Below are 15717 nucleotides of genomic sequence, written 5' to 3' on the forward strand. Positions count from 1 at the left end.
TCCAGACCTGTCCTGAGGTTTAAATGAGATCATATCTGTTAAAAAGCTTGGTGCTATGTAAACTCTAAAATGCACAGATAATTTAGAGCCTTATGTCCTATACATACAATGTTAAAAATTGGGGTTGTATTCCCCAAATGCCTTTGAATAATAAAAATATCAGAGTGATCAAACAAAGAAACACAAACACTTTAAAATAAATGTTTACATACACAAATGATTTTATAAACATGCATTTAAAATGTAAAAATGAACTCAGATATCAAACTCCTGAAACCACCATTGCAAAATAAATATCTGAGACAGTGTAACAGATCTGACTTAACCAACTCCATCTTGCTTCTAACCACCAAGCTCTCCTTGTTCATTTTTGGACATAAGCCAAATTCACTTTGGGAGGAACTTAGTTGATAGTTTAAAACAAAGTGACAATAGCCCTTTCCCAAAACAAACCCCCTTCTTGCCTGGGGACTAAACTGCCTTTGTAGGACTAACAAATTAGCCAAAAGATTAGAAATTATGGTTTAGGAGTCATGCAGCTGGAGGCTACAAGATTCCAACCCTCCCCAAATTGCTCCTGGAGATAACGTCACTATTATAAAACCTAAGATCCGTGCTTGAGAGATTTTGCAGACTGTGCACTTGATGGATCGGCTAGCACTACACAGATCGATAAACTGGCTCATCTGATCTTATGGCCCCCGCCCAGGAACTGACTTGGTGCAAGAAGACAGCTTTGAATCCTTATGATTTCATCTCCCACCCAACAGATCAACACTCCAGATTCACTGTCCTCTACCTACCAAATTATCCTTAAAAACTCTGATCCCTGGATGCTAAGGGTAACTGATTTGAGTAATAATAAAACTCCAGTCTCCCACACAGGTGGTTCTGCATCAATTACTCTTTCTCTATTGCAATTCCCCAGTCTTGATAAATTGACTCTGTCTAGGCAGTGGGCAAGGTGAACCTGTTGGATGGTTACACTCCCATCATAACTTTTCCTTTTCAGGGAGTTTTCCAGATAAGCTGAAACAGGGGGGATTTTATACAATACAGTGAGTTTGCAAAGTTGCAATATTCTTCCATTTCTGGAAATCCTGTGGACATTCTAAGATTCTCAATGGCTCTAATGACTTTGGGACTGCATTTAACTTAGAATCAAAAGTCTGAAATGTTTTCTAAACCTATTCTGTATCCATGAGTGATTATAAAAGTCTTTGATGAATGGTGGTAAATGCTAGAAGAAGAATGTCCTTGGCAAATTCATATTCTTCGAGGATCTCTCACTCTTCCATTTCAGTAGGTTCTTATTCCTATACCACTGATTCTAACCACTTCCCTTTTCCAGGATGCTGAAGGTACAGAAAGGTCTTCTCCTAGAGGAATCAAAATATTCTTTCTTATCCCTGAAAACACATTTGTTTGATATCTCTGGGACTCTGTGCTTCAACATAGAAAAAAAAATGCTTGCCAAATGTGATAATTAATTCTTTAGACATACAAATTTGCTGTATCCAGTCACAAATCCAGGCAAGCAAAAGCCATCCCATCATGATTTCTGATCACTGCCCCAACCTAAGCTCTCTTCACTTCCTTCAGATGTTTTCCCCTGCCCTTCAAAATCACATTCCTAGGCAAATACAACAATTGGAAATTGCAGGCTAGCTCATCGGCTTCCAAAGCCAACTCAGGGTGATGAAACTATCACGCTTTGTTTCCACAGGAATGGCTTCTCTTGATGTTTTCAGTTTATCTTTTTTGTACATATTTTCTCTTCTTAAATATATTGAAGAGTATAAATAATCCCAAATTTGAAGAAAATAAAAAACAGAGAGAGAGAGAGAGAGAAATAATCTGACACAGATTCCCTCTGTGAGGGCAGGCTCAGACTGCAGGCTGCATCTTCAGAATCACTTCCAACTGGCATGCACCCTTCAGGTTTTTACTGGAGTCAAAGCAGCCCCCATTATGAGGTACTAATTAAGTGGCCATAATCTAAGCGCAACCCAACCTTACTTATTTTAAGGTAATAACTTGCTTTTTTGTGAGCGGCAAGCTGGAGGGACCATTTTAATGAGTCTTTAGTCATGCATATATGATGCATAAGTAGGCCCATTGTTCTCAGGAAGACTCTGAGGTAGACTAGAAAGCGAAAAACCCAGACTTCAGACTGAGAGGTTGAGTATCCTATTCACAGTGTCAGCTGGGCTTTGTAGCAGTACTCTTCTATGGAATCTCAGTGGGGCTATCCTCCTATACCCAGGTTTAGACTGCCTAGAGCCTGGGACATATTATGTCTTTTGTGTCTAGTCATGTTCTTATGGGAAGTTGAGATTGAGGCTGAACTATCAGGGGTTTGCGAGCCAGATCCCCTGTTCCCCTGACTCTGGGGACACAGTGAATCCCCTGGGCTAGCCTTGGTACTGACCCGCCCTGGACTGGATGAATGGTGTCCGTCACAGGGTGTTATCCAAGGCTGAACAAGCTGAATTTAGGGAACTGTACGGTGAACTGTATCTGGGCCACTGGAGATCCCCCCTGAAGGGAATGGATCAGATCCATCACCACTGTCTGTCACCCAGAGGCAGGAAATGAACGGATGGATATTGGAGGAGGGGAGCACAGGTCCTCCCTGGGACTGCAAGTTCACTGGACTCTAGTTCTAAGTCCCTGGGAGTGCCCGTTGGCCGAAGGGGTTGAGTTGTTCCTGCCATTGGGAAACCTGTGAGGATTATGAAGGAAGATTTTGGCTTGTGAGCTTTCAGAGTGGCGCATTCTAGGGTCAGCTGGGACCCACTTTGTTTTCTGTTACCCCAAGCCTTCAGAGAAAGAGCCAAAAACCATGGCCCAACCTGAGGTACTCAGTGGAATGAGGGAGGGCAGGAGGCCCTCCCCAGGGCTGGAGTAGCTGGGTGCTGGACATGGGCCCATCAGAGTGGCTGTCGTGCCACCAGTGGCATGCCTAGCCTTCAGGATAAGAAGCCTACACAGAAAGATGAATAAAGGGACTGGTTCCCAGGGACACTCTATGGTTTTCAGGGGCCTAGGTTCCTGGCAATTCACAGTGATAACTGAGAGGACACTTTGAGGGGGATTCCCTTCTGGAAAGGAGGACAGTGGCAGCTCATCTTGTGTTAGTCTGAGTATAAAAAGGATGAGTTATTTCATTTTGTCATCACAAAATGGTTAAGTATGGCTTGGGTTCTGATGGTTACTGTGGTGTCTTCTTTGTGACTTAAAATGTACTAAAATCAGGAGATCACCTAGAAAAGGCACACAAGAAATATTTATTCTTTTTTTCCCTTTCTCCAAATTCAGATAGATCTCCTTTTCTGAGATTGAGGAGTAGAACCAAAAGGTCTCTATCCAAAGGAATGTAAGATAGTTATAAGATAGTTATATCAAGATAAATAATTACTAACAGCCTAGCACACATATTAGAAAATTTATCACTTATATTTTTGTTGGTATTTCTCATCCCTGGAAATAAGATGCCCTTGCCTTGGGTTAGCCACTTGCAAAGGAAAGTGTGTTTGTGTGTCACAGAACGCTGTCTATTCACAGATCTTGCTTTTCACAGTAGAAAACCCGCTCCATCAACTAATTTTTTGTGTATGCCAATGCTTTTCATCAATAGAGAAGCGCTCAGTGGAATATTTAGCCTGAGGACGAAAATATAAACAGAACGTTCTGCCACAAAAGATATACACCTTCTCAGAGGCCAGGGAAATAAGGAAGATGATCTTCTATATCCCTCCCTTTTCCATAACTCCATGAACCTAGTGCTGATTTTGTAGCATCTCTGCTTAATTCTGATTTCATGCAGTTTTACAAGGTCAGGTGTCAATCAGTAGCAGCCAGAAACCAAATTTGCTTGAAATCAGGCCTTCAACCTAGAGGCACACATCTATCTATTTCCCCTTGCATTTCCTCAATTTCAACAAAATTTTGTCCAGATCTCAAGTTCTGTTATATTTATCCCTACATGATAGTAAGGTTTATTCAAAGTGAGCTACAGTTTTCTAATAGATTCTTTTTTAGCCATTTCGGGGTGAGCTTTTCGTAATACAGGAATAATAAAGCCAGCTTGTTTAACAAGTTTCATAAACTGGATACATAGGTTGATTCCATTTTTGTCTTTATTAGTTTCATGGCTTTCTTGAGGTATAAGTGACATAGAATAAACTGCACTTATTTTAAAAGTATAATTTAATAAAATGTAAGATATGTATATACCCATGAAACCACCATTACAGCCAAGATAATGAACATATTCATCACCCCCAAAGTTTCCTCAGATCACCCCATTTTTAACTAAGGAGAATATATCCACAAGCTCCTATTAGACTCTCTGCCTCAGAAAGTCAAATTGCTGAGAAACCTATTTCTGAGCCTTATTTGGCTTTTATTTACACAAGTTGAATAGATAAACATAATTCGTTGACAATGCATTCATAAACGAGGATACGTGAAATCTGTCTTCCAATTGCATCTTAAAAGAACATATTTTCATAGTAAAGTCTATTTGTCCCGGGAAGCATTAGACTATTTGAAAGATGGAAATGGAAAAGTGAGCGATCATACTTAGAAAAGTCGCTGGTTTTTATCTCTTACAGGTCTGCAAATTTCTCAGAAGCTAAGCTTGAGAAAAACTACAGATTCCCGACATGAGTATTGTAGCCTCCACCCTCCCTTAGTCTCAGTGACAGAAGTGAAGCCCAAACCTCAGTTTTTACTCTGGGGAAGCACATTTTATAACTGGTCTCTAATTAAATGTTATTTAATAATTGCTTAATAAAAATTCTAACATTCCAGATAAAGTCATGGCAGCAGCACTATTAGTACTATGGTACAAAGATTTTCCCTTCTATGGTGTCTGCAGCAGCTGGATTCCTCAGTTCCCAGTTCTGCTGCTTACTAACTGTGAGAGCCCATGGCTAAGACATTGAACAGCTCCAACACTCAGTTTCCTCATCTATTAAATGGGACTAATGATAACAATAAGGCTTCCATGAAGATGAGATCGTAGGCACTCCTTTAATGTTCACTGCCATTATTGTACCTGCATTGCCTTTTCTAGTCATACTATGGGCTAGAAGTGAGAGAGAAAAGCCTCAAATTTCAGTGTTACTGACATTCTGGAGCAAGTATTTAATACACATTAATCTTTAGTGGAGCTAGCTGTCTTCTTATGCATCCGGACATCTGCCTACAGCCAAGTGGTATGTACCCTTCCAGCTCATTTTAATTTGGGACGAGAAGAAAGGACACTCATCTGCCAAAGAGGAAAGTTCCTTCACAACCTTAGCTTTTGAAGCTTACGAGAAGGAGCCGGTTGTGGAAGTGGCCCCACCCTCCATTGGAAGGCGTCTGTTCTGGACACTTGAGTTCTCCTGCAAGACCCCAGAAAAGCAGTTTTCTAACTACCTTTGAAATGTCCCCATGGGGGCCAGTGCATCCTCTGTAGATAGCCCTGAAAAAATAGAAAAGCCTCCCAGTTGGAGCAGCTCTCTTGAAATGCTTTTTCACATTGTATATTATACTGGTAAAAAGTTTAATCCATCTTAGTTCCTGGAATTTATCCTAAGGAAATCATTCAGAAAGAAACAACTGGCCTAGCACTGTGGCTCATGCCTGTAATCCCAGCACTTTGGGAAGCCAAGGCAGGAGGATCACTTGAAGTCAGGAGTTCAAGACCAGCCTGGGCAACATAGTGAAACCCCTGTCTCTTCAAAATAAAAATTTTAAAAGCTAGCTAGGCATAGTGGTGCATGCCTGTAATTCTAACCACTCAGGAGGCTGAGGAAGGAAGATCACTTGAGCCCAGGAGATTGAGGCTGCAGTGAGCTAGGATTGCACCACTGCATACCAGCCTGGGCAACAGAGTGAGACCCTGTCTATTTTTTTTTTTAAGACAGAGAGAGAGAAAGAAGCAGTGAAAAACAGCATACATTAGAAGGTATACCTCACATTGATGCTAATAGTAAAAAATTCTCAACAACCTCATGCAACATCTAAATTTTGGTACATTCATGGGCTGGAATATAAGGCAGGGATTTTAAATTATAAATGTAAAGACTACGTAGAAACAGAAGATGTTTCTGCTACAATATTTAGTAAAATAGTAGTTTGATTATTGCACATGCCATCTAACCTCATAAAAATAAATATAATATGACAAAGATGGAAAGAAATATGTAAAAAAAAACTATTTTTATGTTCCAGTAGGTGACTATTTTGGGAAAACTCTGAAACCGGGTTTTTCTCTGCTCTCACACCACCACCACAATTATCATCAACACAGAAAAAAGACTTCCGTGACCATTATAATGTCTGCAGGGTTTTCCCCACACACCAAGCAGCAGACCCCAGCTGGGTGTCCTCCAATTCAATTTTGACACTATCCACCTGGCCATAGTGTCAGATCCCACAGGTTGAGGTCTCAGTCCCCAGGACCAACTAGCTTCAAGTTGGGGCTCCCATGATCCCCTCTTGGGGTTTGATTAATTTGCTGGAGCGGCTTGCAGAACTGAAGGAAACAGGTTACTGGTTTAGCATAGAGGATATTAGGATACACATGAAGAAGTGAACAGGGTGAGGTATGGGAGAAGGGGTGTGGAGCTTCCATGACCTCCCTGCTCAAGCCAACCTCCTCCAGGAACCTCCACATGGTCAGCTATCTGGAAGCTCCCAAACTCTATCCTCTTGGGTTTTTATGGAGGCTTCATTACACAGGCATGATTGACAACTGTGTAGAAATGTGACTGGACAAAAAGCACATGATCTAAACCCAGCAGGCCTTGTCTGTTCAGACTTTTCTTGGCCTCTCTGTGTAGCATTCCTTCCTCTAGGGTATGGGGCTGGTCTCTCTCTGGAATGAGGGTCTTATGACCCACAATCAGATTAGAGTCCTGCCTTGGGCAGGTGAAAGGAAGGCAGGAGAAGATCAAAGAGAAAAAGATTTTGTTTCCTGAGGCCTGCTTCTGAGGCCTAAAGAGCCCCAGTATTATAACAAAAGACTGTAACAAGGATTATATGAGTTATGAGCTAGGAACCATGGACAAAAAGCAATATATATAATAATATCACAGTGAAATTTTTCTCTTATTTTCCAGATTTTCTGTATTGTTTTTATGTATTTTTTAATGGTAAAAATGATGGTTTGCCAGGTGGCTTTAAAAGAAATTATGAAGTCCAAGATGCTTTCTATAGGCAAGAAAGCTGTGTACTATTTTGTGGATTTTTTGCTTCCTCATTTAGCTAGGAGTGTGATGGATAACACACACAGAGTTTTCCTGTTAACTCAAGAGAATCCTTCACAGGAAGAATCTCAATTGTGAGAGATTCATAAGTGTAGACGGGGCAGTTAAATGGCAGCCAACTTGGCCCCTGGAAAAAGGGAAGCCTGGCAGATCTGGCTCTAGGCGTGAATGGAAGTCATTCTGCAGGGTGTAGTAAAAACAAAATGACTTTGGGGCATTACAGATCTGTGTTCAACTTTGTCACCTTGGGATAATCAATTCTGGTTCAGTTCAAGTCAGTTTACTTTTCTGACCCTCAATTTCTCCATTTGTAAATGGGAGTAACTATGATTATGACATCCTCCTCAGAAAGTCCCAGTGAGAATTTTAGTGAGTTCACTATACTAGTTGCTGGAGATAAAATGATGACTAAGACATCAGGCTCAAGAAGTGTACTGGGGAAGAGCATTATTAGCAAAGGGTGCAACATAGCAAAGGCAGAGAGGAGAGACATCCCATGCTGGGGGCAATTACTAACAGATCTGTATCAGGGCACAGCAGGGTGTAGCAAAAGTAGACAGGCAGGCAGGAGACAGACCCATAAATCCCATACCATTAAACTTTACCCTGCAGATAACAGAGCCACTGAAAGATTTTATGCAGAAGAGTGGTGATATGGTTTGGATTTGTGTCCCCGCCCAAATCTCATGTCTAATTGTAATCCCCAGTGTTGGAGGAGGGGCTGGTGGGAGGTGATTGGATCATAGGGGCAGATTTCCCCCTTGCTGTTCTGGTGACAGTGAATGAGTTCTCATGAGACCTGGTTGTTTAAAGGTGTGTGGCACCTTCCTCTTCTCTCTCTCTCTCCTGCTCTGCCATATGAAGATGTGCCTGCTTTCCTTTCACCTTCCACCATGATTGTAAGTTTCCTGAGGCCTCCCCAGCCATGCTTCCTGTATAGCCTGTGGTACGGTGAGTCAATTAAACCTCTTTTCTTCCTAAATTACCCAGTCTCAGGTAGTTTCTTATAGCAATGCCAGAGTGAACTAATGCAAGTGGAAATTTCTTTTTGCATTTTGTCTAGAACATGTACTAATGCAAGCGGAAATTTCTTTTTGCATTTTGTCTAGAACACTCTGGCAGCCCCATGAAGGATAAGGCTCAAGGAATAGAAATCAATTAAGAGGCCACTGGGTGCTCCAGTGAGATGATGGATCTAACAGATTCAAAACTGAGCCCTTGGCCAGGCGCAGTGACTCAGGCTCATAATCCCATCACGTTGGGAGGCCAAGGTGGAAGGATCGCTTGAGTCCAGGAGTTCAAGAGCAGCCTGGTGAGACCTCATCTCTACAAAAAATTTAGAAAAAAATAGCTGGGCATGATAGTGCACACCTGTGGTCCCAGCTACTTGGGAGGCTGAGGTGGAAGGATTGCTTCAGACCAGGAGGTTGGGGCTGCGATGAGTCATGTCTGCCCCACTGCACTCCAGCCTAGGCAATAGAGGGAGACCCTGTCTCAAAAACAAAAAACAAACAAAAACCCTGAGTCCTTAATCTCCTCCCTGTCCCTTCCCACTGCAAACCTAGTCCTCACGCAGCCTTCCCCACCTTGGTGGCAGTGATAGCCTTCCAGCCACTCCCTGTCTACTTATCTCTCATATCCTGCAGCCCTTCCCTCAGCAAATGCTCTGGTTGGTTCTACCTTCGGGTTATAGGCAGAATCCAGTGACTTCTTATCATTTCCACTATAAGCCAGCCTTATTTCTTGCCTGGGATGTGGAATAGCATTTTGTCCATTCTTCCTGTTTCTGCTTCTTTCTGTCTTCAGTTCACCTTCAACACAGTGGCCAGGGAGATCCTTTTAGGATTTGGCAGTCATGCCATTCCTCTACCCAAACTGCCCATCTTCCCCTTCACCCTCCTTGCTCCATTTTCTTCTGAGAACTGATCACCTGGTAGCACGGTAGGTACTGGGCAGATAAATATTTGTTAAAATAATGATTAGATGATTAGGGTCATGGTCTAAGGTAGTAGAAGAGGGAAACAGTGGGAGAAGACTTGTTAAGAATGACTTGGGAGGTGAAATTGACCAGATTCAGTAACTGATGGCATAGTTATAATGGGGAGTCAAGACGACCCCAGGTCCGTCACTGGGCACTGGGATGGGTTGGTGGTGTCATATCCTGGTCGAGGGAGCAAAGGCAGTGGAGCAGGGATGAGATATGGGACATCCTGGGTAAGGGGGCTCCGTGGACTGTTCAAATGCAGACATCTGGGTACAGAGGTCACAAGGGCTCCCTCTGCCCAGCCAGACTTCCCCTTGCCTGGTTTCCAGATGATGTCTGGAGAAAGGCAAACCCCAGATCAAAAACTAGGGTACCTAAGAATGCCCAAAGCCTACTATAAGGTTGTCATTACTTTTAATGATAAAAACCGCAATTTACTTCTGCATCAACCTAATAATTAAAAGTCCAGATTTCCCACCCTGCTGATTCTGATTCTGTAAGAGCTGCAGGGAGCCTAAGAATCTTCATTTTAACTAGGGCCCAGGGGATTCCGATGCAGATAATCCGCAGGCCTCACTTTGAGAAACACTGACCTCAATCTATCTCACTTTGGTCCCATTGATTACGTCTAGCTGTCTGAAAAACATATTTACATTCCTATCATTTTGTTAAGTCAGGACATTGTCAGGTGGAAACACTGACACTGATTAACATGTAAACTGTATTCCTTGCATGTATTTGATAAAGAATTTTATAACATTATCTGTCATAATTATAGAATGCAATGGCATGTTCCAGTGAGTTACACATAATTACATTAAAGCAGTATTTAGGGCAATTATATTGTTTGTTGAACTGTAATTTCATTAAGTGCAGAAACCTATAATGGATTAAATTCAGAAACACTAAGTTTTACAGTGGCTCCCCTTGAAAATATTAAGGAGATATGGGGTTTGTATTGTTCTGCCAAGTCCCAGTTAGGGCCTGAACACAATAGGGAATGAGATGCAATTTGCCTTGCACAACCCTTTTGGTTTTGTCTCACCCCCTCCCCCAACTCTATACCTTACACCTCCCCTTCTGTCACCATCAGTCACGAGCTCCAGTCTCCCTGGGCCTAAACCCCCCACCTCCCAGACACCCACAGACTCTCTCTGCCACACTCTTCATTCGAAGAAAAATACAGTATCTCATTCTCTCAGAGACTCAGAGGTCAAATTTTGGTGTGTGTGTTTTTTTTTTTTTTTAAATAGATTCATAGCAAGTGAAACATTCCAGATGTTAAAAGCGTGGACAGTGAGGTCCATGGACCGGCAGGATCAGCAGCCCCAGAAGCTCCTTGGACCTGCAAGACCCTCCGGCCCCACCACAGCCCTACTGAACCAGGATCAGACTTTAAAAAAGAATCCAATGCCAGTTTGAGAAGCCCAACTCAAAAATCTAGACCAACAACCTGGTCTACCTTCCTGGTGAGGAAACCAAGCCCCAAAGCTCCCTGGCCTAGGGTCCCACAGCTGGTGGTTAGCAGAATCATGTCAGAGCAAGAATAAAGGTTTTACTATTTTACAAACTATTGTACTTTACTAATAGCTACACTTGGGCACCAAACTATGTGCTTTACATACATTATCTCTTTTAAGCCACTCAATAGCCCTACAAGGAAGCTAGCTATTCATGTTCTCACTTTGGAAAGCAAAAACCAAAAGTCAGAAATGGAAATTTATTTGAGGTTATAGTTAACCGAGTTTCAATACCAGATCTTTTCAACTCCAACATCTATGTTCCCAAAGCAGTGCTTCTTATTTCTAACCCATGTGAAAACAAGTGGTTGGAATGTCAAGCTCATGAATCATTTCTCTGCCTTCAGAATCTATGCATGGCCCTCCCAGCCCAGGGCCAGAGGGCTAAAAAGCTTTTTCTCCTGAAGGTGAACTGCTACCTCTTCTTACACCCACCGCTCTATTATTTTCCAAATAATTTACATTATTTCATCACATTGCTAAGCCTTCACTGGGCTGAGATGCAGATGCTCCAGTTATCTTCAGACTGATTCAGCTGCAACTTCCATGTGAATACAGAGTTCCATCTTAGGACCAATGGGAGCCCCGTGCACCCTTCACTTTCCTACTACCCAAAGTAGTAGGTGTGGGGACGCTGCAGAGAGATTGAGATCTGCAGTTGAACATAATTCCACATCTGTCTTAGTTCATTCAGGCTGCTGTAACAAAATACCATAAACCACATCCCTATGGCTTATAAGCAACAGATATTTATTTCTTATAGTTCTGAAGCCTGGGAAGTCCAAGATCAAGGCACCAGCAGATTTGGTGTCTGGTGAGGACCCATTTTCTTTTTTTTTTTTTTTTTTTTTTTTTTTTTTTTGAGACGTAGTCTCGCTCTGTCGCCCAGGCTGGAGTGCAGTGGCGCGATCTCGGCTCACTGCAAGCTCCGCCTCCCGGGTTCACGCCATTCTCCTGCCTCAGCCTCCCGAGTAGCTAGGACTACAGGCGCCCGCTACCACGCCCGGCTAATTTTTTGTATTTTTAGTAGAGACGGGGTTTCACCGTGTTAGCCAGGATGGTCTCGATCTCCTGACCTCGTGATCCGCCCGCCTCGGCCTCCCAAAGTGCTGGGATTACAGGTGTGAGCCACCACGCCCGGCCGAGGACCCATTTTCTTGTTCATATAGATGCCTTTGCACTGTGTCCTCACATAGTAAAAGGAGTGAGGTCACTCTCTTGGGTCTCTTTTATAATGGTGCTAATCCCATTCATGAGAGCTCCATCCTCATGACCTTATCTCCCAAAGATCCCACCTCCTAATACTATCACCTTGGGGGTTAGGATTTCAACACATGAATTTTGGAGAGATAATTTTTTTTTTTTTTTGAGGCAGAGTTTTACTCTGTTGCCCAAGCTAGAGTGTAATGGCGCAATCTCGCCTCACTGCAACCTCTGCCTCCTGGGTTCAAGTGATTCTCCTGCCTCAGCCTCCCAAGTAGCTGGGATTACACGTGCTCACCACCACACCTGGCTAATTTTGTATTTTTAGTAAGGATGGGGTTTAACCATGTTGGGCAGGCTGGTCTCAAACTCCTGACCTTGGATGATCCACCAGCCTCAGCCACCCAAAGTGTTGGGATTACAGGCATGGGCCACCACACCCGACTTGGAGAGATACAAATAAATTCAGATCATAGCACCTTCCATGTCGCTTTGGCAATGGGTTCTCCCATCCACATTTCCTTGCTGGAATTCCTTGAAACAATCAGCACAACTTCTTCTTGAATGGGCAGTCTTAGTTTCTGTTTTTATACTGAACTACTTAACTCCTTTCTTTCCCGTGTGTTATTAGTCAAGGAAAGAGAAAGAGAACCAATAGGAAGGATGGATAGATAGGTGATAGGTACATATATACAAACAGAGGAGATCTATTAGAAGAATTAGCTTATGTGGTTATGGGGGCTGAGAAGTCCCATGACAGGCTGTCTGCAAACTGGAGAAGTAGGGAAGCCAGTAGTGTAGCTCAATCCAAGTGCAAAGGCCTGAGAATCAAGGAAGCCAATGGTGTTGGTCTGAGGCTGAAGACCTGAGAACCTGGGGGTGCTGCTTGTGCAAGTCCCAGAGACCAAAAGCTGGACAACCTGGGGTTCTGATGTCCAAGGACAGAAGAAGAAGGAAGTTCCAACTCCAGGAGAGTGAATTTGTCTTTCCCCTTTCTTTTTGTTCTGTCTGGGCCCTCAGCCAATTGGAAGGTTCCCATCGTCGTTGGGTGAGGCAGATCTTTCTATTCAGCCCACTGATTCAAATGCAAATTTCTTCTGGAAACACCCTCATAGGCATACCCAGAAATAATGCTTCACCAGCCATCTGGACATCCCTTAGCCCACTCAGGTTGACACACATCCCTCAGCATTCTACATCAGCTTTGGTTAAAATTTCTGATACCAAAGGGCCTATGGTTTCTAGCTTCACCTTTTCTCCCCACTATAAGTCTTCTTTATGGTTCTATTTCTTGGTAATCTGAACTCATTCACATTCTTAATCTCATGTAAAGCAATACTTAAGAACTAGCAACTTCAGGTTCCATAATTGCACAGCTTCTGCTCCTGTGAATCTGAGGCCAGCAAACTTGACGAATAAACTAAAATAAAAAACAGAAAGAAAAAACATTCAGTTCCTTCAAATAATCTCCAGATTCAAGAACTGAGTTTGAGGGTCAAGCGCAGTGGCTCATGCCTATAATCCCAGCACTTTGGGAGGCTGAGGTGGGTGGATCACTTGATGTCAGGAGTTCGAGACCAGCCTGGCCAACATGGCAAAACCCCATGTCCACTAAAAATACAAAAATTAGCCAGGCCTGGTGGCACATGCCCATAATTCCAGCTACTCAGGAGGCTGAGGCAGGAGAATCTCTTGAACCCGGGAGGCAGAGGTTGCAGTGAACCGAGATCATGCCACTGCACTCCAGCCGGGACGACAGAGTGAGACTTTGTCTTTAAAAAAAAAAAAAAAAGAACTGAGCTTGAACTCCTGAATAATCCATAATATTCTGCAACCTAGCCTACTATTTTTTATCTACTATTAACCTTTGCCTTCCTCTGGGCATTTTTTTTTTCCCACAGTAATTTTTTTTTTTTTTTCAGATGGAGTCTTACTCTATTGCCCAGGCTAGAGTGCAGTGGTGCAATCTCAGCTCACAGCAACCTCCGCCTCCCAGGTTCAAGCAATTCTCCTGTCTCAGCCTCCCAAGTAGCTGGGACTACAGGCACACGCTACCATGCCCGGCTAATTTTTGTATTTTTAGTAGAGATGGGGTTTTACCGCATTGGTCAGGCTGGTCTCGAACTCCTGACCTCAGGTGATCCACCCACCTCAGCCTTTCAGAATAAATATTTAATTCGATGTAGTTTACATGAAACAGTTACTGGAGATAAATGAAGTGAGAAAAATATGAGGGTAATTAGAGGGGCCAACCAACAGTAAATGTTTGCTGTTCGTTATTTCAGAAAATACTTGTGTAAGTACCCATGTCGCCCCTCCAACTCTTAGTGTGACTCCTTCCCAGGCTTGAGCTATTTTGCTTGTCCCTCTGCCTTCCTTCAAATGCCCTGTGCCACTGTTCAAATGCAGGCCTTAAAACATATTTCTTAATTATAGATAATAGTTGATTGTAAACATAACAAGAGATTTCTTTGTTGTTTGTGATATACTTAAGCATATAGAGAAGAATTACCTAATTTATACTGTGTCTGCAAGGTACCAAAGCAGGTAAAATATAAAACAGTCAAGTTGATCACTTAGTGTTGCATAGATGCACAATAGGTTATTTAGCTGAATTCAACTCTTCTTTTTTTATCTATAACTTATCTGAGTGAAAAAGATAGTAGTCTAGTGATGTTTTCCAGAGTAAAGGTGACACCACATGATGGAAAGCTCAGCTTTTTTAGCCTTGGCATTTATTTATTTATTTTTATTTTTATTTTTTTTCCTTTGAGACAGGGTCTCACTCCATCACCTACGCTGGAATGCAGTGGTGCAGTCACAGCTCACTGCAGCCTCAATCTCCAGGGCTCAAGTGATCCTCCAACCTGAGCCTCCTGAGTATCTGGGACTACAGGTGCGTGCCACCATAGTTGGCCAAATTTTTTTATTTTTTTGTAGAGACAGTGTCTTGCTATGTTGCCCAGGCTGGTCTTGAACTCCTGGGCTCAAGTGATCCACCCATCTCTCTCTCCCAAAGTGCTGGGATTACAGGTGTGAACCACTGCACCCAGCCTAGCCTTGGCTTTTCACAGGGAGTGGCAACTCCTCCTCCCAGAGCAGAGCTACTCCAAAGATTTCTGCTGCTTCCAATGTAGATTTTCAATGATTTCAGATCTACATAAGAACGTAGTTACTGTTTAGGAGAAGCCAGCTTTCATGGAGGAAACTGTATTTGTGATCCTGATGATTTTCCTTGAACAGGCCAAGTCTCGCCACATGGCATCATTTCCTCCTCACCTGCAGAATCGCTGTGACTTATGGCTCCTCTGATTGCACCTGCTTTCACCAGCAGCCCTGGAAGAGAGCTCTTCTGTGTGGATAAGAGTTGAGAGATCTTGGTTTCATTACTTGTTTAAATTGGACCCTCTCAAATGAATGTAAGCACATAATGGGGGGACTACACTATGAGATTAAAAGGAATCCAGCTGTTACCAGAAATGGGTGCCTGCCAGGTTTATCCACCAAATTCTTTCCACTTCATGTCATTAAAATAAAATTTGAGTTTTAAAATGAAAATTTCTCAGATTGATATGAATTTGTCTCATTGATTTTATTAATATAGCCAGTTAACATAACAATTCTATCATACAAGGAAATGAGAATAATACAAAAGCAAAAATAAGGGTAGGGGCCGGGCACAGTGGTTCACACCTGTAATCTCAGCACTTTGGGAGGCCAAGGTGGGCAGATCACTTGCGGTCAG

The 15717-nt window shown here is 42.8% G+C and overlaps 2 annotated features.

Annotated features, from left to right (window-relative positions):
* Positions 1477-2216: an enhancer, noted in NCBI's record as "OCT4-NANOG-H3K27ac hESC enhancer chr2:174662067-174662806 (GRCh37/hg19 assembly coordinates)". NCBI's record gives its function as "activates a minimal SCP1, AML or CMV promoter by ChIP-STARR-seq in naive H9 embryonic stem cells {active_cell/tissue: H9 hESC(naive)}" and the evidence as "EXISTENCE:reporter gene assay evidence [ECO:0000049][PMID:30033119]".
* Positions 2217-2954: an enhancer, noted in NCBI's record as "OCT4-NANOG-H3K27ac hESC enhancer chr2:174662807-174663544 (GRCh37/hg19 assembly coordinates)". NCBI's record gives its function as "activates a minimal SCP1, AML or CMV promoter by ChIP-STARR-seq in naive H9 embryonic stem cells {active_cell/tissue: H9 hESC(naive)}" and the evidence as "EXISTENCE:reporter gene assay evidence [ECO:0000049][PMID:30033119]".

Source organism: Homo sapiens, chromosome 2 (genome assembly GCF_000001405.40).
Source record: "Homo sapiens chromosome 2, GRCh38.p14 Primary Assembly".
Taxonomy (NCBI): domain Eukaryota; kingdom Metazoa; phylum Chordata; class Mammalia; order Primates; family Hominidae; genus Homo; species Homo sapiens.